Source organism: Homo sapiens, chromosome 14 (genome assembly GCF_000001405.40).
Source record: "Homo sapiens chromosome 14, GRCh38.p14 Primary Assembly".
Classification (NCBI taxonomy): domain Eukaryota; kingdom Metazoa; phylum Chordata; class Mammalia; order Primates; family Hominidae; genus Homo; species Homo sapiens.
In genome coordinates this window covers 37,715,863-37,731,570 of record NC_000014.9, presented here as the reverse complement: position 1 = coordinate 37,731,570, position 15,708 = coordinate 37,715,863, and the positions used below count along the sequence as shown (strand labels likewise).

The window sequence follows — 15,708 nt, the reverse complement described above, 5'->3', positions numbered from 1 at the left end:
ACACTATTACAGGAAAATATAGACAAATCTACACCACAGTGGCAGATTTAAACACCCAGCTGAGGTTGAGCAAAATGTCATTCTGCCTTCTTGTTTCAACTGTCGTACTGTAAAGAAGTTTCCTTTTCAAGGCCTATTTAGTGTCGTGTTTTTCATATTTTTGTGCTTTTGGTTTGTGATTTTGCTCTTTAAAATGGTCCCCAGTATAGTGCTGAAGTGTTGGCTAGTGTTCCTAAGTGCAAGAAGGCTGCAATGTGCATTACAGAGAAAACAAATGTGTTACATAGCTTCTTTCAGGCATGAGTTATAGTGCTGTCAGCTATGACTTCAGTAGCAATGAATCAACAATATATATTAAATAAGGTGTCTTTAAACAGAAAAGCCCATAAAGCAAGGTTACGTATTGATCAGCTGATGAAAACCAGAGCCTCACAGGACCCTCGCCTTCTACTTCCCCTAAGAGCAACAGTTCAATATCAACTAATTCAGTGCTTGAGGTGACTTTATGGAACATAACTACCACAAATGACAAGAATCTACTGTACATGTTTATTGTATCTGTACCTCATACTAAAATGTAAGCTCCATGAAATTAATGACCTTGAATTTTCATTGCTGCAGCTCCAGCCTCTAGAACAGTGGCTCACACATAGAGGTGACTGGCATGTATTTATCTGATGAATGAATGGAAAAATGACATGTAAAAAGACTTAAGTCTTCATTTTAAACAAGACCAAGAAGTTCCAAGTGGGATGAATGAGAACTATAGTGTCCGAATACTTATTATCAACATGACTGGAGGCTGCCTGGCAAGTAATTAGAAAAACAGAATTTTATGCCACATCAAATTGGAATGCAAGAGGCAGAGGAAAATAAATATACATCCACAAATACAAGTACTCCAAAATTTACCACACAAACCTTTCCAGAAAGAATTAGTCAAAAATATAATAAGGAAAACAAAAATGATTAGAAGAAAGGAAATGATGTAAGACAGAAGAAATTGTGGAAAGAAAGTCAGAAAAACATAGTTAAATCTATGTAATTATTGATGCACAGAGTGAACATTAAAATTATCAGGAACAAAAATATTTAATGGTCTCCAATGTGGCAGATGGCAGATGGGAGTAAAGTGAAACATTTTAAAGCCAATCCTTCATGGAAAGGATATAAATTCTGATTGACTCTTGATGTGCTTAAATACATGCCAGATATTTTTAAATAACCATGAAAATGTAAAATCATGAATATATTATATCCAGACTACTGAATTTTATTTTTTAAAAAGGAAAACTGAAAAATATAAGTTTAAGAGAAGGAATAACAGGTGAAAATAAAAAAGACAGCATCAAACAAAAAATAAGTTAAATTTGCTTTTTAAAAATAAGAGCACATAGATCTGTGCATCTAAATATCATTTCCCATTCACCACAACCAGGAGTCTTTGAAGAAAGAGTCAATGCCAGTTCCGGTGAAATGAAAATGTCAGGTGAGCTTGAGCTATCTTTTTGTGCCAGAAAGTACTGTTGGATCCTTTCTCTCCTGGTCATTGGGAGTGGACAACCACCAGTACTGATTTTCTTTCGGACTACTTTTCTAATGGGTTACTCCATGGTCACCAGTTCTCACTAATTCTTCCTATTCCTGCTACAATTTCACTTCTTTTAAAACAATTTTGCCTACCTTCAACTCCCTACATTCACACTTTCCTATAAACATAGATAGAAAAATATATGCCCATACTTTGTAAACAAACATATAGTTTAAAAAACATTGCACTCATATTACAGACTCCCTACTGTGTCAGCTCAAGTAGAAGTAGACGCCAACAGTATAGGATAAAATGAGAAGGTGCAGGAGTAGGCAGGGGGAACCTTCAGAGCATTATGCAGATTTGACATCTCTGAAAGGGGATGAGAGAGGAAGGATTAGGTAGAAAGAGCTTCAGACCACGGAGCAGTTCTAAGAAAGATTCAACCAGGCTGATGAAAAGTCCCTGAGCCAAAATTGCCCATGAAAGCAATCACAATCAAGCAGGAATGCATCTGCTCTAGCAACCACCTTGTGCTCAGTCCCTGGCTGGGAGCAGCCCCAAGGAAGCATGGCCTTGGAGCAAATGCCATGTTAGGTCTGCGGGACAGCAGCTGGAGGCCACCAGTCAAGTATGCCCCCTCAGCAGATTTTCTTGAAGCAGATGTGAGCATCATATTTTCACGGATGCCATATTGACTTATGCAAATTAATATTCACCAATCTTCTGCATGAAGGCAATCTTTTAATACACTTTATATCATTAACTTTCTCTTTCTAGCTCATGACATATTTTTCAAAAACAATATGTAAGTATTTTCTTAAGTAAATGAAAAGGTTAGACTGCATTATTAAAAAATGCAAATATATATTATAATCTTCTAAGATTTGAAATATACATACACTTTGACTAGGAATTCCAAACAGAAAAATACACATATGTGTGCAAAGATATATATATTCAAGTATTTTAAGTGAAAAAAACCAAGATGTAGAATAATATAAATTACAACTCCACAAATGTAAAAGTATGAATTTGCACACACCTGCATGACATAAATGACAATGAAAATGTCTGAATGGATATACGAAATGCATTTAACAATGGCCAACTTCAGGGAGAAGAGAACTGGAGAAGGACAGCATTAAGGAGGGGGAATGCTCTTTATGTCATATTCATCTTTATTGTTTGAATTTTTACTACAAGTAAGCATTCACATACCACTAGTGTGATTTCTGAAGTAATTGTAATAGCCCTTGCCACTCTGAAAACAGCACAGACAGTAGGGAGTTAACAAAAGAGAACAGAAATTTTAAATAAACAGAAACCACAAAATAAAATAATAATAGTAGGACCAAAACACCATATGTTACTTATATAGCACCTCTAAAACAAAACAAAACAAAAACAATAAGAAGTATTAACCTAAAAATATTTCTGAACACAGAGAAAAGAACACAGGGCTAGACATACTAGAGTAGAATTCAAGCACTGAATAGGCCAAACTGGACCATTTCAAATCAGTAAGAGACAAAACTCATAATAAAGACAAAACATCTTCTAATCACAGAAAGTAAAACTGTTAGTAACAAGTGGAGAATTTTTTTTTTTTTTTTTTTTTTGGTAGTGATAGGGTTTCATCATGTTGGCCAGGTTGGTCTCCAACTCCTGGCCTCAAGTGATCCACCCACCTCAGCCTCCCAAAGTGCTGGGATTACAGGCGTGAGCCACCATGCCCGGCTAACACATGGAAAAACTGACAAAGCATAACTTCATTGAAAATCCATATTTAATTAAAGTCTTTATGAGATCAAATGAAATAAATATGCCACATAAAATGTAACAATATTACAGTATAATAAAGTCTATTATTATTTGAGCACCTACTACTTATCGAGCAATGCACCATATAGTCTCTCATTAAATCCTCAAAAGACCCACTTGGCAAACAAAAAAAACTGAGACTTCATGAGGTTAAAATAATAGTACGAGGTTACCCAGGAAGTAAGTGGAATTCAGATTCAAGACCATCTGATTCCTAAGGTGTGCTCTGCTTAGTCTGGCCACAATATCAAAGTGATAACAAATAATACCACTGAATTAACTGAGAGATATTGGGATATCTAGCACAACCCAAAGCAAATATCCATAAATTCCAAGAAACTGGTATTTTGAAGAATATATTTTTACGCTAATAAGGATTAAGAATAAAATTTAAACAAAATAATTCCAACGAGTTTTTAAAAAATGTTTAAACACTATGGTGTATCAAAAAGAAAAGGAAAATTGCAATAGAAATTACTTTGAAAATAAATAAAGACACTGCAAATGAAAAGGTTTGAAATAAGGTCAAGTACACAGAAGAAAACTCATAAATTACTTATATTATTTTTAAAAAAAGAAGAAACATGAAGAAATTAATTAAGTTTTCAGCAAAAGAAATTAGAGTCTGGGCGTGGTGGCTCACACCTGTAATCCCAGAACTTTGGGAGGCCAAGGCGGGCGGATCACAAGGTCAGGAGATCAAGACCATCCTAGCTAAAACAGTGAAACCCCATCTCTACTAAAAATACAAAAAATTAGCCAGGCATGGTGGTGTGCGCCTGTAGTCCCGGCTACTCGGGAGGCTGAGGCAGGGGAATTGCTTGAACCTGAGAGGCAGAGGTTGCAGTGAGCCAAGATCGCACCACTGCACTCCAGCCTGGTGATAAAGTAAGACTGTCTCAAAAAAAAAAAAAAAAAAAAAAATTAGAAAAATACCAACATAGAATGTCAACATGCTATGGAAAGCAGAAAGCCAATAATCAAAAATATGTTAAAAGGGAGAAGTAACAACATTGAATTAATAATTAATACAAAAGGTTTTTGGTCAAAGATGGTGGGTTAAACTCATGTGTTTTTCTGGTTGACTGGCCACGATATCTAATAGCCAGGGAATTATGTATTATATATCTTTCTAAAAAAATAAAATAAAAGGGATGGTGTTATACTGGTATGAGTATACTAGTCTGACAAACATAGGGAAAGTATTCAATTTAAAAACAAATGAAAAAAGAAAAAACTACTTTCTAAAAGTTCTACTCTAAGAAAAAAATATCAGAAACACCATCAGAAAGGAAAAAGAAAATGATGCAATATTAGAAAGGAATATTAAAACTGACAAAATATATGCAACTCTATGTACATAACTTATAAATCTCAACTAAATACATAGCTTACTGTAGGAATATGTTGCCAATTGACAAGAAAAATAGTAAATATGAATAAGCTAAGAATTAGAAAAGAAAAAATTTTAATTATCAAACAATTACCTTACCAAATGGCTCAGATGAGTCCAAACAGTGAGCTCTTCCAACTTTTCCATTATTCCTAAGCCATATCAATTTCAGAATATTAAAAATGATGAAATGCTATCCAGTTAACCTTATAAAGAAGAGCTCTGATAGCAAAGTCCAACAAAGGGAAAAAAAAATACACTACACAGATATTTCACCCATGAGTATATATTTAAAATTAAAAATAAAATATGGCCTAACAGAATTCAACATAATATTTAACAATAATACACTATGAACAAGTAATCCAAGAAATGCAAAGATATTTCAATATTAACATTCTAAACACGTAGTATCAACAGGTTAAATATGAACAAGACTCCATCCATGCCTTGGTTGCAGGAAAGCTAGGAGATAAATTGATGACCCCATTTCAAGCAACAGCATACATGAACTGAATTTCTTCATATTAATCTTACCTCTGGCTTTATTATGCTATTACTCATGTTATGTTTTCCCCACAATTTCTTTAACTTTTTTGTTTTATCCTTTTCTGATATATGTGTTTTCATAAGCTGCCTACAACGCTGTGCAAATAAAATAATCCTGAATGCCACTAAAAATTTATGTACAATGATGCTCATCACTGAAATATTGTAACCAAGAAAAAAAAAGGAAAAAGCAGAAAAGAGGAGGAGGAAGAAGGAGAAGAATTTTTACAAACCAAAGAAAATGAACCAAAAAGTGGGCAGCAATTCTCTGTGGGAGAAGAATAATAGGTTATTTTGTTTTATTTCTCCTCATTTTTCTAATTTTTAAAATGATCAGTATAACATAAAATGAGAGTAATCATTCTTCTTTAAGGGAAGGAAAAAGATTACCACATTTGGGTATTATTAAATGTTTTTAACATTAAATTAATTTAAAATGTGATTTTAAAAACAAATGAAAATACCATGAAGATCTCTAAACAACTGAAGTAGCTTTATATCTTGAACTCTCAATCAAATAAAACATTCTTTCAAAAAGAAAACAGAATATTCTTCTTAACTAGCTAAAGTCACATGGATAAGTATAACATTTTTTAAATATACATACATAATATATAAAACTATGGCCAGGCATGGTGGCTCATCCCTGTAATCCCAGCACTTTGGGAGACCAAGCTGGGTGGATCACCTGAGGTCAGGAGTTCTAGACCAGCCTCACCAACATGGAGAAACCCCATCTCCACTAAAAATACAAAATTAGCCAGGTGTGGTGGCACATGCCTGTAATCCTAGCTACTCAGGAGGCTGAGGCAGGAGAATTGCTTGAACCCAGGGGGCGGAGGTTGCGGTGAGCCAAGATCGCACCATTGCCCTCCAGCCTGGGCAACAAGAGCAAAACTCCATCTCAAAAAAAATTATATATATATATATATATATATATATATATATATATATATATATACACACACACACACATACATACATATATAAATTTTATATATATACATATATACATGTATATATATACACACACACATATGAACATATAAAATTATAAATTTATAAGTATGTAGGTATATATTTGTATACATACATACAATTATTTACATATATAAATAACTTCTGTAGTGACATCCAATTAATCCTAATTATGGCAATAACTGGTAATTTACATAAATGGCCAGTAAAATTGAATGTCATAGCCAATTATACAATTTATTTATTAAATAATAACAACAACAATAATAGAGAAAACCCATTCGGTATGTTACCTCATATTTTGGATATAGAGTTTCCTTCATGACAGATTCTGGAACAGAGAATTTAGGTGCAGCTGTATTCCAAAACAACTTCGTGAATTCTGGATAAGCATACATCTTTGAAAATAACATAAAAGGTTATTAGAAATGGTAAGAAATGGCCTTGAGAGTAAAAACTCAATCTCCTGTCAAAATTATTTTTAGTTGCTGAGAATTTTTGGTTCCACAGCTTCTGAAAATATGGATAAGAATTTTTTTACAGCCATCAGGTTAGCAAAAATGTAAAAGTCTGCATTACCAACTGATGCTAAGGACTTGGGGAAATTTGTAGAACACGCTGGAGGCCAATTGGCCATATCTAGTAGAGTAGAAAGTGTACGTGCCACATCTTCCTGGAATTTAACTTCCAGCTATATAGTGTAGGCAAATTCTTGCACACATGCATGGGGAGATGAGTATGGGATATTCACAGAGCATATGAAATAAAAAATTAAACCAAATCTAAATGTCCATTAATAGAGTAACATAAATAAAATGTGGTATACTCATAAACACTATAAAACACACTAAAACACAAAAATTATGATCTAGAGATGGATCTTAGAAGCATGGTATTGAGAAGAAAATAAGCAAGTTTTAGAAAGAATCATATAAAACTATGTCATTTATATAAATGTATCCAGAAAACACAAAAAATGTATTATTTATTGGTTAGGCTCACGAATACATCTAGTAAAGTATAAACTCATGGACTGGAAAAACTACTATAATTGTACCAGTAACTGCTGGGTAGGGAGGAAGAGAAATGGAATTAAGAAGTACAAAAGGCCTTAATTTAATAATTTTTAAATTTTTATTTTAAAAAACATGAAACAAGTATGACAAAATGTTAACATTTCCAAAATCTTACTAACATATTCTCAGGTGTTTGCTAGTGTGGTTTCTGTATTTCTTTTCCAAATAAAAATTAATCAGGCCTAGGAGATTTTTTTTTAGGGATGTGAAACTCTTCTGTATGATCTGGAATTGTGGCTACATGACATTATACATTTTTAAAAACCCATTGAACTTTGAAGCACAAGGGGTGAATTTTAATGTAATGTAAATTTATGCCTACAGCCATACCACCCTAAATATGCGTGATCTCTCCTTTAATATGAATTTTTTAAAATCATTTAGGAGGTCAGGAGGAATCCCACGATGGAATGCAGAATGTCATAAAACAATCTAACTGTATTACAAACGTATGAAACAATCTCACCCAAGGGGGTGGGAGGAAAAGTTACTTTGGAAATGTGTACATAAAACCAAAGGCAAAAGGAACTGTGCACATAGCATTATACAGTAGGTAATAAAGTTGTATCCCACAGGATTATGAATTAACAATTCTGATACTTCTATGCACGTGCACTGGCACTGAAAAATTTAATAAATTGAGGGAGAATTATGGAAGCCTGGTTTGTCACTGCTGGAGTAGAAGTGCAGTAGAAAAAAAGGAAGGAAACTAGAATGACCCATGAGGTAGATTAGAGTTGGATGCATCAGTAAGAACTCATATTTAGCTTACTATAGATACAGATGTTTACATATAGAAATATGTATAGATACATGTATTTATTTATACAAGTTTGTGTACACACATATATTTCCTTGCTTTGACAGCTGACAAGACCTAGAAGCAACAATGCCCAGTAGAAACAAACACACCTACTGCCTGGATCTTAGTTTTTAATTATATTCCCCAATAAAGAGACCCAGGGCTCCTTGTTGAAATGGCTGATTCTAGGACTGGGGCAGGAAATATGCAAGATGAACCTAGAATATCTAATACTGCCAAAAATTAAGAAAGTGTTCTAAAAAAAATCCCACAATGATAGGGTGTCAAAAGAGACATAGAAGCCATCTGAAGGAGTTCCCAATGGCCAAAGATCAAATAATTTTATCAAAACTAATAATAATAATGTAGTACTGTATTACAACTCAAAGTATAACGTAAATATTCACAAATCATACTGATATAAATAAATGACTGAGTAAATAAATGAATGAGAAGAATAGACACACTTCCTATATAGAAGAGTTCTAATAAATTTTTGTAGACACTCTACCCTCAAAGAGGTGGAGCATAACCCCCCACTTCTTAGGTGTGGCTGTGTATGGTGACTTTCTTCTGAATAATATGGAAAGGGGAAAAAAAGACAGACTTTAAATGAAGAAACCTGGTAAACACTACCTAGCCAGGTGATCGAGGTTAACATCAACATTAATAAATCATGTCGATAGTATATACCCGATACCTGATGAAAATGGCACTTTTTAACTCAGTGGTCTTCCTCCAAAAATCACATAATCGAATCAAATCAGAGAAACATCATGGCTGGGTGTGGTGGCTCACACCTGTCCCAGAACTTTGGGAGGCCAAGGCTGGAGGACCATTTGAGGCCAGGAGTTCAAGACCAGCTTGAGCAACATAGTAAGACCCTACAAAAAAATTTAAAAATTAGCCAGGTGTAATGGCATGTGCCTGTAGTCCTAGCTACTCAGGAGGCTGAAGTGGGAGGATCACTCGAGCCCTGAAGGTCTGCTCTCAAGGGAAAGTACAGATGCACCTTCAGGAGAGAATTTATTAAATTAAACTAGTAAATAAGACTAACCATGGTAAATTGGTTCCCACAGCAATGCTCAGAACTTTCTGAGAAGAGTCCTAGGAAAATATTAGAAGCAACAGGGGTAGTAGCTGCCAGAACTTGAAAGGACAATGGCTGTTGCATAGCAAACTGAATGATTAACTCTGCATCCTGGGTTAATTTGTGTTTAACAGTTCCTGCATACCTCCTAAGGCCATGATGCATACTACGAGCTGATGCAATAACTCTTGTTCATACTGATGACCCAAGGTCAGAGTATTCTGTTCACTAAGGGAAAGAGACATGCAAATTAGTTTCAGGGTCAAGGTAAATTTCATTTAAATGAAACCTAAGGCAGAATATCAGTTTTCAAAATGTAGTCTGAGACCCTGGGGGAGATTATTTGCCTTTTTCACTATGTTAACATTTGCACTGAGGGGGAAAAAATATATATATATGTATATATATATACATATATACATGTGTATATATGTGTGTGTGTATATATACATATATATATATATATATATATATATATATGGTGAAACTCACAGTGCCAAAGCATGAATCAAGACAGCAGCACCTTAAAAATGCCCACCAGAAAGAAGGAAAAATTTTAATTTTATTCAATCTCCACACATCTTAATATTTAATGTGATTAAATGAGAAATACAAACAAAATATATCCGTGGCCATGGTGAAGTATGATGGCGGTTTGGAGGAAATGCATGTGTGCTATTGTTTGAGTTGTGAACTGAACTAGCCTCCATTTTCATTTAAGAAAACAAACATCAAACCATGTTTATTGAGAGTTGGGTATATGGCAAGATTTTTCTTGAAAAGGGATGAAGCAAACTGGTCACTTCAAATAAAACACCCGAGTGTATTTGTGACACTGAAAAAAACTGAGCTTTTGAACAAAAATTAGAATTTTGGAAAACATGTGTCCCTTACCATGATTTTGCAAGGTTCCCAATGCTAAAGAACTTTTCTGACAATTTTAAAAATAAGCTATTTTGATATTGTGTATTATACTGAAATGTGTCAACATTTGAAGAGTTAAATAACTGAAGAGTATTTTCCAAATAACCAATGTGTGATGTTATTTGAAATAATCCATGAGTAAAAGAGCCATTCAAAGTACAAGATAAAACAATAGATTTTAACATAATAAAGTATGAAAGTCATCAATACAGTTTCAGATTTCAATTGCAACAAGCTTTTTTATTGTACAAATCATCATGTAACAATTATCTTTTTAACTGAGGCTACATTTTTTTTCTTATTTTTCTTTTTTTTTTTTCTGTTCCACTGACCATAATTTCTTTATTAGGATTTTTATTTTGAGATAATTGTAGATTCACAGGCAGTTTTAAGAAATAATACAAAGATATCCCATCTTCCCTTTATCCAGTTTAGCCCAAAGACAACATCAGGCAAAACCATAGTACCATATCATAAACAACATGTTGACATGAAACAGTCAAGCTACAAAACATTTCCATCATCACAAGTGATCCATCTTGTCCTTTAAAGTCATACTCATCCTAACCCCCATCCTGAAAACCTGGAAACCACTATTCTATTCTTTATTTGTATAATTTTGTCATTTCGAGGAAGTTATATAATGAAATTACACAGTATGTAATCTTTTAGAATTGGATTTTTCAGCCCAATTCTCTTAAGATTCATTGTTATCGCATGTATGAATAGTTAATTCCTTTTTATTGGTGATTAGTATTCCATCTGTGGATGTACCACAGTTTTCTTAACCCACTGAAGGTTATCCAGAGTGTTTCCTGTTTGAGTTTTTTTTTTTTTTTTTTCACTGTGCAACCTGCTTCAGTGTTCATAGCTCATGGGTAAGGAGGCTGAGCAATGGTTCAAGGCTGCAGTTTACTCTGGCAATGGGTACACTGTGAGAAGCCCACAGAGAGTTTGGCTTCTATTAATAAAGCTGTGATGAATTTTGTGTACAAATTATAATGTAATTATAAATTTTCATTTCTGTAAGGTAAGCGCCCAGGCATGCAATTGCTGGGTTGTATGCATGCCTGGACAGACACTTTATCTTACAGAACTGCATGCATACTTTGGGTTTTTTTCTAATTACCAAACTGCTTTCTAGAGGGCTGTACCATTTTACCTTCCCAAAAACAATATATCAATGATCCTATTTCTCCTCCACTTCCTTATTGGCATTTGGTGTTATCACTATTATTTTATTTTAACCATTCTGTACTAATATCTTATGGTGGTTTTAATTTGCATTTCCCTAATAGCTAATGATGTTGCGCATCTTTTCATATGCTTCTTTGCCATCTATATATCCTATGTGGTGAAATGTTTATTAATGGTTTTGCCCACTTTCCAGTTAGATATTTTTATATTGAGTTTTGAAAATTCATTATGTATTCTGATATTAATTCTTTGCCGGATACGTGTTTTGCAAAATATTTTCTCCGAGTCGGTGGCTTGTATTTAATCCTCTTAACAGGGTCTTTTGTAGAGAAAAAAAAAATTAATTCTGATGAAGTCCAATTTATCTATTTTTCCTTTTACAAATAGTGCTTTTGGGGTCAAGTGTAAGAATGCTTTCCCTAGCCCTAAATCCCAAAGATCTCCTATGTTTTTTCTACAAGTTTAATAGTTTTATATTTTACATGTGTCTATGAATTATTATTTTAAGTACATTTTTTATAGGATGCAAGACTTAGGTCAGGGTTCTTTTTCTGGCTAAGGGATGTACAACTGATTGAGCAACAATTGTTTGAAAAGACTATCCTACACCATTGAATAATTTTTGCATTTTTATAAAAAATCAGTTGTGCATATCTGTAGGAGTCCATTTGTGGGTTTTCTACTCTGTCCCATTGATCTACAGGCCTGTCCATCCACCAAGACCACACCATCTTAATGACTGTAATATAGTAAGTCAGGAAGTCAGCTAAACTGATTTCTCCCATTTTATTCTTCTTATCCAAAATTATTTTAGCTCTACTTTCTTTGCATTTCCATACAAACTTTAGAATACTCTTGTTTACATGTACAAAAAAAAAAGCCTTGCTGGAATTTTGACAGGAATTGCTTAAATCTGTATATCAATTTGAAGAGAAATGACATGTTTACTATCCTGATTCTTCCAATCTATAAACAGGGAATCTCTCTATTTACTTAGATCACTTTTATTTCTTTTATCAGCATTTTGTAGTCCTCAGCATCTAACTCTTAAACATGTTTTGTTAGATTTACACTTGATTATTTCAGTTTTTAACAATTATAAATGATACAGTTTTAATATCAGTATATATTTCAGTACATGTTCATCTGTAGACACACAGAAATATAATGAATTATTCATGGTTTTTTTTGTATCTTGTCACTTTACTGAGCTCAGTTATTAGTTCTGTGAGATTTTTCTTGTACAGATTCCTCAGAACTTATTTATTTATTTATTGACATGGGGATCCCACTGTTGTCTAGGCTGGAGTGCATGATCACGGCTCACTGCAGCCTCAACCTCCCAGGCTCAGGTTATCTTCCCACCTCACCCTCCCAGAAAGCCCTAAGGCCATGGGACTACAGACACACACCACCATGCCCAGCTAATTTTTGTATTTTTTGTAGAGATGGGATTTTGTCATGTTGCCCCAGCTGGTCTCAAACTCTTGGGCTCAAGCAAGCTGCCCACCTTGGCCTCCCAAAGCGCTGGGCTTACAGGCATGAGCCACTGCACCCGGCTGATTCCTCAGAATTTTCTATGTAGACAGTCATGTCATCTGCACATACGGGCAGCTGTATTGCTTCTTTTCTGGTCTGCAAGCTTTTTTTTCCCACTTCTTGCCTTAATGCACTGCCTAGAATTTCCAGCACTATGTTGAATAAGAGTGGTGTGGGGAAACAATCAGGCTTTCACCATTAAATACTATGTTAGCTGTAGGTTTTTGCAGCTGCTCTTTATCAAGCTGTAGAAGTTTCCCTCTATTCCTACTTTTCTGAAAATTTTTATTATGAAAATGGGTGATGAAATCTGTCAAATGCTTTCTCTTCATTGATTAATATGATCATGCAATTTTTCTTCTTTATTCTGTTAAAATGATGAATTACAGTAGATTGACTTTCCAATACTGAGAAAGCCTCAAATCTCTGGAATAATTCCCTAAAGTCCTGGTGGATAATTCTTTTTACGTATTTTTAATTCTATGACCTAACATTTGTCAAGGATTTTTATAACCAATATTTATAAGGAGTTGTCTTAATCTGTTTTGCACTGCTATAACAGAACACCTGAGACTGGGTAATTTATAAAGAATAAAAATTTATTCTCTCACAGTTCTGGAGGCTGGAAAGAAGTCCAAGATCGAGGCACTAGCATCTGATGTAGGCCTTCTTACTGTGTCCTCACATGGTGGAAGGCAGAAAGGCCAAAACGGAAAAAGAGAGCTGAACTTGCCCATTTCTAATAGCATTCTTCCCACCCATAAGGGCCTAATCACCTCTTAAAGGTCCCACCTCTCAATACTGTTACAACGACAATTAAATTTCAACATGAGTTTTGGAGGAGACAAACATTTGAACCATAGCAAGGATACTGGTCTGCATTTTTCTTTCTTTCTTTCTTTCTTTCTTTTTTGTTTTTTTTACTGTCTTTGTCTAGTTTAGATACTAGGGTATTACTAGCTTCAAAAAATGAATTGAGAAGTCTTCCCTCCTCTTATTTTCTGAAAGAGATTGTATAGAATCGCTGTTAATTGTTCCTTAAATGTGTGGTAGAATTCTCTCTAGTAAAATCATCTGGGCTTACATATTTGGGAGAAGGGGAATGTTCTATAAATCAATAATTCAATTTCCTTAATATTTATAGGGCTATTCAAATAATCTATTTCATACTGGGTGAGTTGTGGTAGTTTGTGTTTTTCGAGAATTTCTTCACGTCATCTAAACAATCAAATGTATGCATGTGTAGAGTTGTTCATAGTATTCCTATATTAATATTTTTATATCTGCAGGGTCTGTAGTAACATCTCATTTCATTTATAATATTGGTAATTTATGGCTTTTCTTTTTTTCTTGTCTTGCCAGAGATTAATTTCAATGATCTTTTCAAATGACCAGCTCTTTCTTTCATTAAGTTTCCTTACTGTTTTTCTGTTTTCAATTTCATTGATTTCTGCTTTTATTCCTTCTGCTTGTTTTGGGTTCATTTTGCTCTTTTTTTGGGGGGTTCTTAGGTGGGAGCTTAAATAATTAATTTGAGACTTTCTCTTTTCTATTGAAAACATTTAGTGCTAGAAATTCTGCTTAGCTATGTCCCACAAATTTTGATATGTTGTATTTTCATTTTCATTCAGTTCAATGTATTTTTAAATCCCTTGAAACTTCTTCTTTAACCTATAGATTATTTATAGCTGTACTGTTTAGATTCCAAGTGTTTGGAGATTTTTGTTATCTTCCTCTTACTGATTTCTAGTTTTAGTCCATTATGGATTTGCTCTATCCTGGTATATGTTTCATGGCATCTGAAAACAATATGCATTCTGCTTTTGTTGGGTACAGTGTTCTATAAATTTCAACTGGAACCTACTGGTTGATGAGGTTGTTGCTGATTTTCTAAGTGTTCTATGAATTTTTGAGAGAGAAATGCTGAACTCTCCAACTATAATTGTGGAATTGTCTATTTCTCCTCTCAGTTCTTAGATTTTGCTTTGCATGTTTTGCAGTTCTATTGTCTGATGCATATATTTTTTAAGACTGGCATGTCTTCTTGATGTGCTGACACTTTTATTATAATATAATGCCCCTTTGTGTCTCTGAGAACTTTCTTTGCTTGGAAGTCTATCTTATCTGATATTAATATAGCCATTCCCACTTTTCTTTGAATGGTGTTTGTGTATTTTTAACCCTTTTATTTTCAAACTGGCTATATCATTATGTTTTAAATTTGTTTCTTGTAAATATTATATATCTGGGTCATGTGTTTTAATCCATTTTACCACTCCGTCATTTAATTGCTAAATTCAAACCATTTACATTTAAGTTAGGGTTTAAGTCTGTCATTTTAGATTTTGTTTCCTGTCTGCTCTGTCTGGTTTCTTTTGTTTCTGTTTTCTTTTTCCTGTCTTCCTGTACATTACTTGAACATATTTTAGAATTCTACTTTTATTTATTTATAGTGTTTTTAGTATATCTCTTTGTATAGCTTTTTAATTGTTACTCTAGGTATTACATTTTATAAATATAGCTTACCACAATTGACTGAGGGTATTATTTTACTAGTTCAAGTGATACGTAGAAATCTCACCTCCCTTTATGTCTCTTTACCCTTTCCCATTTATAGTATGTCTTAAATACTTCCTCTATATTCTGTTACAACCACATCAGCATGATAAATTTTGTTTCAATGGACAAACATAACTTAGAAAACTCAAAAGGAGAAGGAAATTTTATTGTACTTACCCATATTTTTGCTTTACATGTGCTTTGTTCCTTCTACATATTCCTGGATTTTTTCTCTTATCATTTCTC

At 33.8% G+C, this 15,708-nt stretch overlaps 1 protein-coding gene across 14 annotated transcripts in view; it reads right to left on the bottom strand.

Moving 5' to 3' along the window:
- Nucleotides 1-15,708, bottom strand: part of TTC6 (tetratricopeptide repeat domain 6) — a 247,089-nt gene that overhangs the window by 111,147 nt on the left and 120,234 nt on the right. For 13 of the 14 annotated variants that reach the window (XR_007064009.1, XR_001750287.2, NM_001310135.5 and 10 more), the window contains one exon: nucleotides 6,569-6,673. Coding sequence is in view for 12 of the 14 variants with exons in the window: in NM_001310135.5 (NP_001297064.2) it covers nucleotides 6,569-6,673 (105 nt within the window). In the remaining 2 variants the exon portion in view is untranslated. Of the gene's footprint in view, nucleotides 1-6,568; nucleotides 6,674-9,388; nucleotides 9,472-15,708 lie in introns of those variants that run through there. The other variant, XM_011537431.3, reaches the window with a different exon arrangement.